We start from the raw sequence: 14,311 nt of genomic DNA, 5'->3' as shown, positions 1-14,311 counted from the left end.
AAGAATTATTTTGGGGCTTTTAATTCTGCGCCACTGATCTATGTGTCCTATGCCAATACCACACTGTCTTGATTATTATAGCTTCACAGAAAGTTCTGAAATTGCGAAGTGTAACTCCTCCAACTTTGTTCTCTGATTTCAAAATTGTTTTGGCTATTCTGGGTCTTTGAAACTCCATGTAGATTTTAGGATCATTTTGTGAATTTTAGAAGAAAAAATTGCTGGAGTTTTGATGGAGATTGCACTGATTCTCCAGATCAATCTGGAGAAAGCTGCCATCTTCACAATATTGATTCTTCTGTTCCATTAACATGCAATGTTCTCCCATTTATTTAGATCTTAACTTTCCCTCAGCAACGTTCTGTCATTTTCAGAGTATAAGTCCTTAACTTCTTTAAAGTTATTCATATTTTATTCTTTTTAATGCTATATCGTAGATAGGAATTTTTCCTTGATTTCATTTTTGGATTATTCCTTGCATATAGACATAATTTATTTGTACCCTGGTCTCACATCTGATGACCTTGCTGCACTTGTTTGGTAGTTTTAACAGTGGGTTTTCCTTTACCTTTTTGGCGGGGGGAGGGGGGGTGGGGTGTAGGCAGATTTCTCAGGATTTTCTACATATAGAATCACGTTTTCTTCCAATAAAGACAATTTTACTTTTTCCTGTCCATTCCGGTTGCCTTTTATTTCTGTTTCTTACCTGGCTACACTGGCTAGAACCTCCAGTACAAGGCTGAGTAGCAGCAGTGAAAGTGGCCACCTCTGCATCCTTCCTCATCCTAGGGGAAAAGAAGGTCCTCCGTCTTGGACGATTCAGTGTGATGATCACTGTTTTTTTTTCTGTGTATGACTTTGATCAGGTTAAGAAGTTCCCTTGTGTTCTAAGTTTGTCAAGAGATTTTATCATAAGTTGGTGTTGGATTTTGTTAAATGCTTTTTTTCTTGCATTTATTGAAATGATCACGTGGTTTCTGTCCTTTTTCTATTAATATGGTACATCACATGACTTCATTTTCTGATGCTAAACCAACCTTGCATTACTGGGATAAATCCCACTTGGTCATGGTGTAAAATCTTTTTTTTATGTTGTTGGATTCAGTTTGATAATATTTTGTTGTGGATTTTTGCTCCTGTGTTCATAAAGAATATTTTTCTATAGTTTTTCTTACGATACTTTTGATTTTGGTATTAGGGCTATACTGGCTTCAGTATTAGAAGTGTTCCTTCTTCATTTTCTGAAGAGTTTGTGGAGTATTGGCACTGGTATTATTCTTGTAATGTTTAATAAAATTAACCAGTAAAGCTCTCTGGGTCTGGGCTTTTCTTTGTGAGAATATGTTAAATTATTAATTTCTTTTATTTCCCTGCTATAGGTCTATTATACTTTTCTGTTTCTTCCTGAGTCAGTTTAGGTAATTCGTGTCTAAGAATGTTTCCATTTCATCCAGGTTGTTTAATCTGTTGGCATAAGGTTATAGTATTCCCTTATAACCTTTTGATTTTTGCAGGGTCAGTAGCAATGTCCCCTCTTTCATTCCTAATTTTTCTTGTTAGAAAAACTCATTAAAGTTTTGTCAATTTTGTTGTTTTTTCAAATAACTAACTTTGGTTTTATTGATTTTTCTCATGTTTCTATTTCATTGCTTTTTCTTCTCATCCTCAGCATTTCCTTTTTTCCACTTGCCTTGGGTTTTTTCTCTCCTTTTTCAACATTTTTAAGGAAAAAGCTTAGATTATTGATTTGAAATCCATCTTATTCCTCATATAGGCATTTAAAGCTATAAATTTCCCTCTAAGCACTGCCTTACCTGCATCCCACAAATTTTGATATGTTGTGTTTTCATTTGCATTTAGTTCAAAATATTTTCCAATTTCCCTTATACTTTCTAACTTCACTCATTAATTATTTAGAAATGTGTTGTTTAGTTTCCAAATATTTGTGGAAATATCTGTTGTTGATTTTCAATTGATATCCATTGCAATCAGAATATTTTGAAATTTATTAAGGCTTGTTTTATGGCATAGTAGGAAGTCTATCCTATGTGCACTCTGTAGAGTGTCCTACAGATGTCTTGTAAAGTTGGTTGATAGTCTTAAGTGTTTTATATCCTTTTGATTTTCTGTCTAGTTGTTCTATCCATTAAGAGTGATATACTGGTCTCCAGCTATTATTTTTCAACTATGTATTTCTCCCTTTAATTCTGTCAGTTCTTGTTTCATGTATTATGGGGCTCTGTTATGTGCAAATGTGTTTATATCTTCCTGTTCAATGTATCAGGTTTAAGATCAAAGAGAACATGACTACTGACAGTTCATTGTTTCTAGTAATATTTTTATCTTAGAGTTTAATTTGTCTGATATTAGTGTAGCTACTCCAAATTTCTACATTAACTCTGCCTATCTTTTTCATCCTTTCACTTTCAACCTATTTGTGTCTTTAAATCTGAAGTATGTATTTTTTCCATTATCTCCATATCTCTTTTGATTACTATTGCACAGTATCTCTTTATCATTTTACTTTCAACCTATTTGTGTCTTTAAATCTAAAATATGTATTTTTTAGACAGCATATGGTTGTACCCTGTTTCATTCTGTCTTTAACATCCAGTCTGACAACATCTACCTTTTTATTGGGGTGTTTATTCCACTGACATTTAATGTGATTATTGATACGGTAGGATTATGTTTTCCATTTTGCTATTTGTTCTCTACATGTCTTGTGTAACTTTTGCTGTTGTCATTGTTTCTATGTTCCTTCATTACTGGCTTATTTTGTGTTACACACATATTTTCTAGTGTATCATTTAAGTGCATTTTTTGACATTTTATGTGTGTGTGTGACACACTCACACACATATATATTTTCTTAGTGGTTCCTCTGGAGATTACAACAAGCATCTTAGTCAAAACAGTCTATTTCAGATGAATACTGAGTTCTAATAATATGTAAAGACTTTGCTTTGCTGTAACTTCCTTCCCCACCCCTTCCTTTGTGCTACTGTCACACAAATTGTTATAAGCACATTGTTATCAGCACAGGTTTGCAATCGTGTCTTATGCAGTTTCCTTTTACATCAGTTCAGAGAAGAAAAGTTTAAAACATGTTTGTGCTGTCTTTTTAATTCACCTATGTAATTACTCTCACCAGTGCTTCTTACCTCAGCCTGAAGGACTCCCTTTAATATGTCCTGTAGGTCAGGTCTGTTGGCAACAAATTCTGTGTGTCTTGTTTATCTGAGCACAGCTTTGTTTCTTCATCTCTAAAGATGAGTTTTACTAGATATAGAATTCTTGGTTGACAGTGGTTTTCTTTCAGCATTTTGAATGCGCCGTCCCACTGTCCTCCGACATCCACGATTCACAATAAGCAGCTGGCTGTTAATCCTGCTGAGCATCCCACGTACTGAGAAGCTGTTTTCCTCTCACTGCTTTCGGGATTGTCTCTCCCTTTGACTTTCAACAGTTTGGTTTATGTCTGTGTGTGAGCTGCTTTTAATTTATCCCATTTGAATTTTGTGAACCATTTGGATGCACTGAATAATGTTTTCCATCAAATTTAGGAAGTTTGGGGCCATTATTTCTTCACGTATTTCTTCTAATCATCTCTTTCTATAACTCATTATGCATGTGTATATGTGTTTACAGCATCTCACATGCTCTGAGGCTTTGTTCATTTTTATTGATTCTTTCTTCTTTCTGTTCCTCAGTCTAAATAATCTGTTGATTTTTACGTTTGATTCTTTTTCTCTGCCAGCTCAAATCTGTTGTTCAGCCTCTCTAATGCATTTTTCATTTACTTTTCAACTGTGTAATTTCTATTTGGCTTCTTTTTTTTTTTTTTTAAAAATCTCATTATGGATATTCTCTATCTGGTAAGATATATTTGCCACACTCCCCTGTAATTTTTTAAATACAATTTCTTTCAGTTCTTTGAGCATATTTATTGCAGCTGATTTAAAGCCTTTGCTGGTCTAATACCTGAGCCCTCTCAGGGGCTACAGATTTTTCTTCCTGTGGATGGGACATATTTTCATGTTTTCTTGCATGTACTATAATTTTTTGGTTTACAACTGGAGATGACAACTAATGCATTGTAGCGACTCTGAAATGAGATTCCCCCCCCCCCATCCCCCTCCAAATAGGACTTGTTGTTTCTCGGCTTCCCCTCTCCTTGGTTGTTGCTTATGTGACTCATGACTTTCCTGGACTAATTATCTAGATGCTGTATTCCTTGCAGAATGTGGACACTGAGTTTTCTGTTCTCTCTGTTTTTAAATCTTGTTTCTGTCTTTAAGCCAGGCTGCCTAGGGATCACCCTCTGGTTAGCAGAGTTTAATGGTCTGCTGTTACCAGACAGGAAGTTTCCTTAAATCCTTGAGCCACGAAGCCAGTCTCCTCCCTCTAATCACAAAACCTGTGTGTCAGGACCTGCCTCCCAGCCACAGGCAGCTTTACCTCTCACTTCTGCTTGGTGGGGTTTTGAGGTCAGCCAGAGAAGAGTGGCTGGGGCCCTCTCTGTACCGAAGCCTTCACACATCCATTTTCGTATGTGCCCGGGAATCTCCAAGGTTTTTCAAAGTCCCCGGGGTCACCTGGTCTGGCCAGGCTCTTGTTTGCTCCAATGTCGATCGCAGCCTTGGGGCAGCTCCCATGATCACGACTGCAGCCAACGGTGATTGTGCCTCGGAACGGGCCTTTTCCAGGAGCTCCATGACCAGTCCAAATGCGGACTGCATCCTGGGATGGGGTTTTCAACAGAGCCCAGCTCCTCCACGGTCTGTGCTGTCACCGGCTTTCCACGGCTGTGCGCCTCGGGGCTGGAGCGGCCCCAAGTGAAGACGCTGCCATCCTGTTCTTCCCCCTGGGGCCGCTCTTCCTTGAGTGAATGCATCTGTGTTTGTTCTGTCCTCTTGGCTGACTGCCAGATTTGGTGGTTGATTTGACAGTGATGCTGTATTTTTGTTGCTTTGGGGGAGAGCTGATTCAAGATGCTCTCCAGCAGTTTAGAAGGCCTGCTTCTCTCCAGTCCTTCTTATGGAAACGTGCCTTAGCAAACAGTCAGAAATTCTCTGAAGAAAAACAGACACCATGCTCCCCTTCGGCTTGCAAAGCCAACTCATACTTGGATGTTAGGAGTTCTGAGCGGAAATCTTTGCTCATCACATCTCTCTAGTGGGAAGAAAATACTCAACGGTAGAGCTGGGACCCGCGAGAGCATGCGGGCCTTGGCGCTGGGGTTGGGGCGCTCCTGGTTCTGCCTCATTGACTGACTTGGAGCAAGTCCAGCGGCATCTCTCTGAGCCTCAGTTTCCCCCCGGGAAAGGGGGGTGGTGAGCACCGGCAGTTCTGCCTGCCCACAGTGCCATTCTAAGGCTGAACACGCACAGGAGAAAATGTACAAAAGGTCACTATGGAACGTACAAAGGCTACACGTCCAGGACGAGCCTAGGACTGTGATCTGGGTCTTCCGTTTGCTGGCAAGGATGTGCGACCTCAGGAGTGAGTCTCTCAGCATTGACAGGAAGAAAACACTACGGTTCCGACTGTCCCCTCTTTCTAGCCTGGGCTTGGCAGAATGTGTGAGTCAGCTCCTCGCTGCTCCTCAGGAGTCCATGCGCAGAAACGCACTTTGCTATCAGGAAGATCACCTGAACGTGCCCGTGCTCGAGCTCAGGGAGAGCCAAGCACCCAGCTTGAGTGGCCCGGCCCTGGCTGCCCTGGCAAGAACATGGCTGTCTGACAGACATGGGCAGAGCCCTCCACTGCCCCGGCCACCTCTCTCCCTCTGACGGGCGATCGGCCTCTGGGCGCTGAATGTGGCTGTTATGCTTTTTAAATACCTCGCTCATGGCTTCACGCTCCGGTACCCCAGCACATCAGTGCGACATGCTGGCTCACAGATCTAAGCGTGTCTGTAAAGAACACTCGTTCTCAAATAAGGAAGCTCTTTGAAATGTCTACACATTAGGAAGAGAAAACGTATGGCGGTAGGAGGAAGCTAGGCAACTTGATTTGAAATGGAGACAATGCCACTTAAAATGTTTCTGTAAAGTTTGAAATCATCTGTAGGAGGAAAACAGAGTGCATCTACACCAGAAAAACACAGCGTTACAATGACACACTTGCGAATGCCTTACTACTGTTCACGGCTTACCCGCGTCACAGCGACACACCCGCGGACGCCTTACTACTGTTCACGGCTTGCCTGCGTTACAGTGACACTTGCGGACGCCTTACTACTGTTCACGGCTTGCCCGCGTCACAGCGACACACCCGCGGGCGCCTTACTACTGTTCACGGCTTGCCTGTGTTACAGTGACACTTGCGGACACCTTACTACGGTTCACAGCTTGCCTGTGTTACAGTGACACACCCATGAACGCCTTAGTACTGTTCACGGCCTGCCTACGTTACAATGACTCGCGAACGCCTTACCACTGTTCACGGCTTGCCTACACAAGATGACAAAGGCATCGCACACACGCCCCACACTGCCCAGACGCGCAGTCGCGGCTGAACATCAGGGCTTGGTCTCTCTTTGCTGCCACTGGCCGTGAATTTTCTTCGGCACAAAATAGATCTAAACAGTGCTCATTGCCCAAGCTCTGTGAAATCTCTCCAGCTCTTCCCTCTTGCTTCCTTCCACCTCGTCCCTATGTCTCTCTCTCCAGTTACTAATTTTAGACAGCTCTCCACTTAACGCCGAAACAAGCTAAGACCCACTTTTAAGGAGTCAAAGGCAGAAGATGAATAGCTGAAAATGATACCCCCAAATTTCCCTTCCAAGTACACAAAATTGGACTGTAGACTGATATTTCAACTAGAAACAGCATAGAATTCAAAATATTCTGTGTCCACAGTGAATATCTTCAGGCAATTTAAAAAAGTGCCCAGAACCTCACAGGCCCCAAGGAGCAGCCCGTGGGCAGCTCACAGGAGCGGGCACCTCTCCTTTCTCCCGTGCCCACCTCAGGGAAGGACGGAGGCACTGTGGCCTCACAGCCTGCACGCCACGGCGGGAGACCTGCAACAGCACCCACACGGGATGTGCACAGCCCATGCAGCCCCTATTTTTAGAGAGCCTTGTTCAGCACCCGTCTCAGTGCCATCCTTGCCCCCATTTCCTCAAGGGGCAGACTTGCCACTGCAGCTGCCCCAGGGTTCTCCAGCCATGGGCTCCATGCTCACCCGGCCGCACCAGGTTGATGGGGGGCGTGTGCCCGCTCTCGCCTTCCCCCGGCCGTACCAGGTTGATGGGGGGCGTGTGCCCGCTCTCGCTTTCCCCCGGCGGTACCAGGTTCATGGGGGGCGTGTGCCCGCTCTCGCCTTCCCCCGGCCGCACCAGGTTCATGGGGGGCGTGTGCCCGCTCTCGCCTTCCCCCGGCGGTACCAGGTCGATGGGGGGCATGTGCCCGCTCTCGCCTTCCCCCGGCGGTACCAGGTCGATGGGGGGCGTGTGCCCGCTCTCGCCTTCCCCCGGCGGTACCAGGTTCATGGGGGGCGTGTGCCCGCTCTCGCCTTCCCCCGGCGGTACCAGGTCGATGGGGGGCGTGTGCCCGCTCTCGCCTTCCCCCGGCGGTACCAGGTCGATGGGGGGCGTGTGCCCGCTCTCGCCTTCCCCCGGCGGTACCAGGTTCATGGGGGGCGTGTGCCCGCTCTCGCCTTCCCCCGGCCGCACCAGGTTCATGGGGGGCGTGTGCCCGCTCTCGCCTTCCCCCGGCGGTACCAGGTCGATGGGGGGCGTGTGCCCGCTCTCGCCTTCCCCCGGCGGTACCAGGTCGATGGGGGGCGTGTGCCCGCTCTCGCCTTCCCCCGGCGGTACCAGGTCGATGGGGGGCGTGTGCCCGCTCTCGCCTTCCCCCGGCCGTACCAGGTTCATGGGGGGCGTGTGCCCGCTCTCGCCTTCCCCCGGCGGTACCAGGTTCATGGGGGGCGTGTGCCCGCTCTCGCCTTCCCCCGGCCACACCAGGTTGATGGGGGGCGTGTGCCCGCTCTCGCCTTTCTCACTGTCCCTCGCGGTCGCTGGCTGAGACCAGGTGGCAGCGAGTTTTCTCGAGAGGAACTGAAACGCGTGAGTCGACGTCTGAGCCTCAGCCACACGCTGCCTGGCGCACAGGTTTGGACGCGGCCTCTGGTGGCCGCCTCACCTCGGGCACGTCACAGGGTGGGCTCCCTGAGGAAGCAGCTCCGGGCCTGGGGCTGGACGGGCTCTTGGCGTTGGGGAGCTGCCTCTTCAGCGGCCTCCGGAGCACCCGGCCCCGCAGCCCGGCCCGCCCTGCCGACAGCAGGCTCCGTCTCCGGGTGGCGTGCGGTGCGATTTTTACGCCTTGAAACCCCCACGCCGCGGTCCCACGGCACCAGGCACTGACCCCGATGAATGATTTGCACGGCTGAGTCCGCTGCTCCATCCATCACGCGGTAGCCGCCGTCTGCGACGGTAACGACGTTGGATGGCGGCACACAGGCTCTTTCAATCATCCTCAGCCGGGGGGAAGGCCTCAGACCTGGGCGCCGGGCCAGGTTAGTAAGACTTTCCACGAAGGGAGCTTCTCGTCCTCCGGAGCAGCTCCGGCTCAGGAGGGGCGGGCGAGGGGCCCGTTCACAGCCCAGACTGCGGCGGACACGCTCCGGCCGCCTCGTCTACCTGCTCGTTGTTTTAATGACATGGAGACTTTAAACCCAAGTGCTTCTGAGGGACTGAAAGGGCCGACCGTGGCAGAGGCCGTGCGGCGGCCCAGGGGACACGGGGAGGCGCCCGTGGCAGACCAGCCCCGCGCCGAGGGACGGCCGCTGTCCTCACGAGGCTGGAGGAGGGGTGCCCACTTCAGCGGCACAGACCCGCGGGCACCGCAGCGGGCCCCGAGCGCCTCCGTTTCGGAAGACACAGGCCCCACAAACGCTCTCAGCGCGCGAGCGCGTGGCACGGGGCGGCCCTCGCTGACGCGTAATCCACCGCGAGTCCGCCCCCAGCGGAGCCTCCTCACGGCCCTTCTCCACGATGCGGAATGCGTGGAGATCACATTAGAAAAGGAGCCACACGGAGCTCTGTGGCATTTTTTCAAATCTACATTTAAAATAATGCAAGATACAGAAAACCACTGTTTAAAAACTGAACCTCTGTGGCTCGGCCATGCTCGAGAAGTCTGAGGGGAAAGCCCAATATTCAGGAGAAACAAAGACGACCTCATTGTTGGAATTTATTTATGGGTCAAGCACTTCTGAAACAAAACTTGGGAGTAGAAAGGACTGGAAAGCAAAGAAATCCTAAAAAAAAAAAAAAAAAAAAAAAAAGCTGGATTCATTTTTCTTTTTTTTTTTTGAGATGGAGTCTCGCTTTGTCACCCAGGCTGGAGTGCAGTGGCGAGGTCTCAGCTCACTGCAACCTCCATCTCCCAGGTTCGAGTGATTCTCCTGCCTCAGCCTTCCAAGTAGCTGGGATTATAGGCATGCACCACCACGCCCAGCTAATCTTTTTTTTTTTTTTGAGATGGAGTCTCGCTCTGTCACCCAGGCTGGAGTGCAGTGGCGCGATCTCAGCTCTCTGCAAGCTCCGCCTCCCAGGTTCACGCCATTCTCCTGTCTCAGCCTCCCGAGTGGCTGGGACTACAGGCGCCCGCCACCACTCCCGGCTAATTTTTTGTATTTTTAGTAGAGATGGGGTTTCACCATGTTAGTCAGGATGGTTTCGATCTTCTGGCCTCGTGATCCACCCGCCTCAGCCTTCCAAAGTACAGGGATTACAGGCCTGAGCCACTGCACCCAGCCCCACGCCCAGCTAATTTTTGTATTTTTAGTAGAGATGGGGTTCTACCATGTTGACCAGGCTGGTCTTGAACTCCTGACCTCAGGTGATCCACCCACCTAGGCCTCCCAAAGTGAGCCACCGTGCCCAGCCTCATTTTTCATTTTGAGGCTTGACTTCTTTGAGACGCACAGGATGTGGGCTGTGCGTGACCTTTAGGTTCCTGCGGCTGAGCAGAGGCTGCCACAGAGGAGGCTCCAGCGTGAACTGCCCTCCTCAGACCCCTCAGGGATGCAAACACGGACACTGTGGACCCCCTACCTAGACTCTGCAACTGGACACTATTCTCTTATTGCCTTTTAACTCCACATTCCTGGAAAACAAAATCAAAACAAATGAAAAACCACTACGCACAGAAAAAGTTCTATGTCCTCACGGGCAGGCCGTCGTCAGCATCACTGGGCGTGAGGAGCCCCGGGCTGTCTCTGGCTGCCTCTGCACAGCTGTTCATGTGAAGCAGCAAGACCTTGAAGTGACTCAATTCATGGACCCACAGCTCTGATTCTGGTCAGGCGGAGGGAAGCCTCTCAAACATGGCTGGGTGCCCAGGGGCCGGGGCTGAGTCCCCGGCCCCACGAGGACATCCCAGACGCTGGCCTGTCTCCCCCTCTCCCCGCACGCAGCTCTGCGATCCACCACTGCTTGGTTCGCAGAGGGCTGGAGACTAAATCTGCACCCCATGCCAGGCTTGTTGTCCCTGGAGGTGGCGGCCAGGCCAGCGGAACGCAGAAGGGAAGCCGGGGAGGCTGGAAAGTGGACCCGGCAGGGCTTCTGTCACCTGCCATACCCACGTCCTGCCACAGGCACCTCACGGGGCTCGGGGCTGGCCAGGAGGTCCCTGGCCTTGTGTCCGATCGGCCCATTTACAGATAGTCAGGGGTGTGTCTGAGTCTTGTCCCCGCCACACAGCCTTACTTCTCTCCTGTTTCCTCCAACCCCAGCTTTTCGCTCTCTCCCTGTTGTGTAAACTATCAAAGACACAGCGACACTTTCCACCCGCTGAGGACACTTGGCACGCACGGCACCGACTTGACCTGGGGTTCGTGTTGTTTCTGTCTCTCGTCTCTGCTCCTTCTCCAGGTGCTGGGATCGTCCCTTGTTGGGGCGCCCTGTGCTTCCTATTCTTCTCCGCCCCCGAACTCCAGGTCACGCTTGCCTGCTTTCTAAGCCAGCGACTGAGCCCCAGGGTGGCTGCTGAGGTGCCCGATTCTCTTAGGGGTTGTGAAATTAGACAAAATATATATTAATACTAAACAAGGACTACCCACATTCACCCTAGCCTGCCTTCCCTCTCCCGCTGTCCCCATCAAGATGGCTCCTCGCATTTCCATGGAGCTTGTTGGGGTCTGGGCTCCCTCTCCCGCTGTCCCCATCGAGACGGTCCCCAGGTACACCCCCGCATTTCCATGGAGCTGGAGTCTCGGGGACTCAGAGTTCCACCTTACAATTCAGGTCTTCAGCCTGCGTGAGGCTTTCCCGACATAACCCAGGCCCTGACCTCGTTTATGTCACGGCGTTTGTGAGCCTGGGGTGTGGGTTCCAGGTTCCAGGGACCCAGGGCAAGCCAGAGGTCATCTGCAGGGGAGGGGCCGACCCAGACTCAACCCTGACCCGGGACCCTTCCCGGCCATGTTGGTGGATGCTCCAGCCATCTTCTCACAAGGACAGGCAGCGACCCATCTACGGCTCCATCCACCCAGGACGCGGGAAACGGCTCGGCCCGTGTCATTCTCAGTGAAGGCTCCATCCACTCGGCTCCGACAGAGCAATAAACATTTGAATCTGCTTTTCTCACAGGGAGGAACAGGTGTCTAGAGTGGGTGGACCTGCCCCCAGGTGCTCAGGAGGAACCTGGAGTCCATGGCCTGGTGCCTGTCTCCCAGGGTGGCGGCAATGTCAGGCCTGTATCAGGGACTACCCCACCATGACTGAGAGCCTGAGCCTGCACCAGGGACCACCCTGCCCTAACCCAGAGCCGGGCCTGCACCAGGGAACACCCCCATCCTGACCCAGAGCCTGGGCCTGCACCAGAGACCACCCCACCATGACCGAGAGCCTGAGCCTGCACCAGGGACCACCCTGTCCTAACCCAGAGCGGGGCCTGCACCAGGGACCACCCCACCCTAACCCAGAGCCGGGCCTGCACCAGACACTACCCCACCTGCACCACCTCAGCCCCCAGGACTCTCCCCTCCCCTTCACACACACCACGAGCAGAACTTCCTCTGCCATGCGCCCCGCCTGCCTGCCTGTGAAGGACCGAGAGGGGCTGTCTGCCCACGGGGGGGCGGGGGCGGGGGGGAGATCAGGCCACAGCTGACACTGCTTCCAGCTGCCTGAAGCCCTAACTGCTGTGGTCCTGGCTGAGCATCGAGGGACCTCACAGGTGGAGATGAAACGGACATCACCACATTACCTGCACACACTTGCCATGTCATAGGGAGGTGTCTGCACAGGTATCTCAACCTCCATCCCAACCCCGACCCCCGAAGCGGCACCGCCTAGCGCCGTACGCTAACCCCGAAAGCTTGTGTGTGGCTGCTCCCAGGTTATGGAGGCAGAAGCACACAGGACCCATAAACTGTGACCAGAACAGTGTGCAGGGCTGGCGCTCGGGGTCTGTGCTCAAGGTCCCAGGACCGGCCCTGGGCCTGACGAAGCGTACGTGGACGAGATGACTGTGGTTGGTGGGCTGGGGTGTGGTCTGCTCTGACAACACAGAAACCCCTGGGTCTTTTGAACAGGACGTGACCCATTCGATCCGAGTTTGGGGAGGATCACCACGGCAACTGAGTGAGGAAAATGGGGAGAGAGGCCCGCTGGGAACTGAGCTCACTCTGCGGGGAGAGGTTGTCCTCAAGTGTCCCGACGGCAGCACGCCGGGAAACAAACTTTCTTAAAAGGGGTGTGAGCGACTGCTTTACAGCTGGCGAATCCTGGGCTCCAGGGTCCCACTGGCTGTCAGGAGAGGCCCCAATGGGAACGTGGCATTGGGCATCCTCAGAGGAGCTGCAGGCCAGGCCCAGCCCCATGGCAGATGCACTCTGGCCTCAGCCCTTCCATGTGTCAGGGAGTCGTCTGTGCACTCCCCTCCCCAAGACCCATCCCCTCCATGTCCACGCACAGTCAGGCAGGCCAGGGCGGGGTCACACCCACACCCATGCAGCTCCAACATCCCTAGCCTGTGCACTCAGCGACACAACAGCCCACCCTCTGTGGCCCACCAGGCCCCAAGGCAAGGCCTGGCTCACTTAGCTTTGACCTCTAGGACCAAGGCCAGAGGGGCCCGGGCCACCTGGTGAGGCTTTGGCAGTAACGGGCTGGGTAAAGGGATGATCTCACCTGAGCACCGTGCGGGTCAACAGTCCCCTGCCTGCTGTGTTGACGCAGAACACGTCCCAGCCCCCAGCACTGCCGCTGCTCACCCACCCCAAGTCCCACCCCGAACTCTACCCTCGCCATAAAGCCACACGTGGGCCACAGGGCAGCAGAAACATGACCGGGACCTGCTTCCCACCTGGGCCTGCAGGGCACTACCCAATTGTGGGAGCCCAGAGCTGGTGGGTCACAACTGGGACAAGGCATGGCAGGTGGAAAGAGAATTTCTCAGCATCTCCCAGCCGCCTTGGGACCACCTGGTACCGCGTGAGACAAAGCAGGGGTGAGGGACTGGAGGCATGGATGTCAGCGTCCACCTCGCGCAGGGGCTGGGGAGGAAGGCAGAGTCCATCTGTGCTCAGGAGGCTGCAGAGCAGGGACATGGGCCCCATGCGGAGCTCCGGCTGGCCTCGCGGGTGGACAAGGAGGACAGCAGGCAGGTCAGACAGTAAGAACTTCAGGACGACATCTGCACAGGACACGGAACACTGTCCTGGCCCCGCCCCACAGTCATCATGAACCTCCAGAGAGTGGCCAGGGGGCAGCCACGGGCCTCCAGTGTGTGGCTCTGAGGGACAGCCCTGGGGAGGCAGCAGCCTCCTGGGCTGACGGGACACACTCCTGCAAAAACAGACGATGAGGGCTGCGGGCTTCATGGGACACACTACCTCAAGTTCACACACACACACACACACACACACACACACACACACAACCAGGGCTGCGGGCTCCATGGGACACACTACCGCAAACACACACACACCAGGGCTGTGGGCTCAAGAGCTTAATATTTTGGGGGCTAAAATATTTGCATGCATCCTCCTTAAAAAGCTTGTAGCCTTCAGTCAGGAAACAGCAGGAAGGCGTTTGGCCTCACTCCCTTCCCAGCAGATGGGAAACTGAGCTCCTGACGCCCGGGAGTCCCTGCCCCCCCTGGGTCAGGAGGGGCTAATGCCGCCCCCTCCCCAGAAGGCCGAGGCTCGCCTGGACCCCAGGCCACTGAGCAGGGAGTGGGCAGTGGCTCCAGGTGTGTCTGCTGGAACCCGGGCCTGGGAAACGTCATACACTTGGGAGGACTCACTGTGCCTCCGAGGAAATGAAGCCAATTCCCACACAAACCATTCG

The 14,311-nt window shown here is 51.9% G+C and overlaps 1 protein-coding gene across 8 annotated transcripts in view, besides 1 other annotated feature; it reads right to left on the bottom strand.

Moving 5' to 3' along the window:
* Positions 1-14,311, bottom strand: part of NFATC1 (nuclear factor of activated T cells 1) — a 133,394-nt gene that overhangs the window by 27,125 nt on the left and 91,958 nt on the right. The gene's annotated exons all lie outside the window — the stretch shown is intronic.
* Positions 8,396-8,565: an enhancer, noted in NCBI's record as "experimental_50638 CRE fragment used in MPRA reporter constructs". NCBI's record gives its function as "activates a minimal promoter by MPRAs in K562 erythroleukemia cells, with activity observed for the non-introgressed 18:77253719 variant allele {active_cell/tissue: K562}" and the evidence as "EXISTENCE:reporter gene assay evidence [ECO:0000049][PMID:34662402]".

This window comes from Homo sapiens, chromosome 18 (assembly GCF_000001405.40).
Source record: "Homo sapiens chromosome 18, GRCh38.p14 Primary Assembly".
NCBI classification, from domain to species: Eukaryota; Metazoa; Chordata; class Mammalia; order Primates; family Hominidae; genus Homo; species Homo sapiens.
Note: the sequence above shows the minus strand (reverse complement) of the source record. Positions and strands in the feature narration are given on the sequence as shown.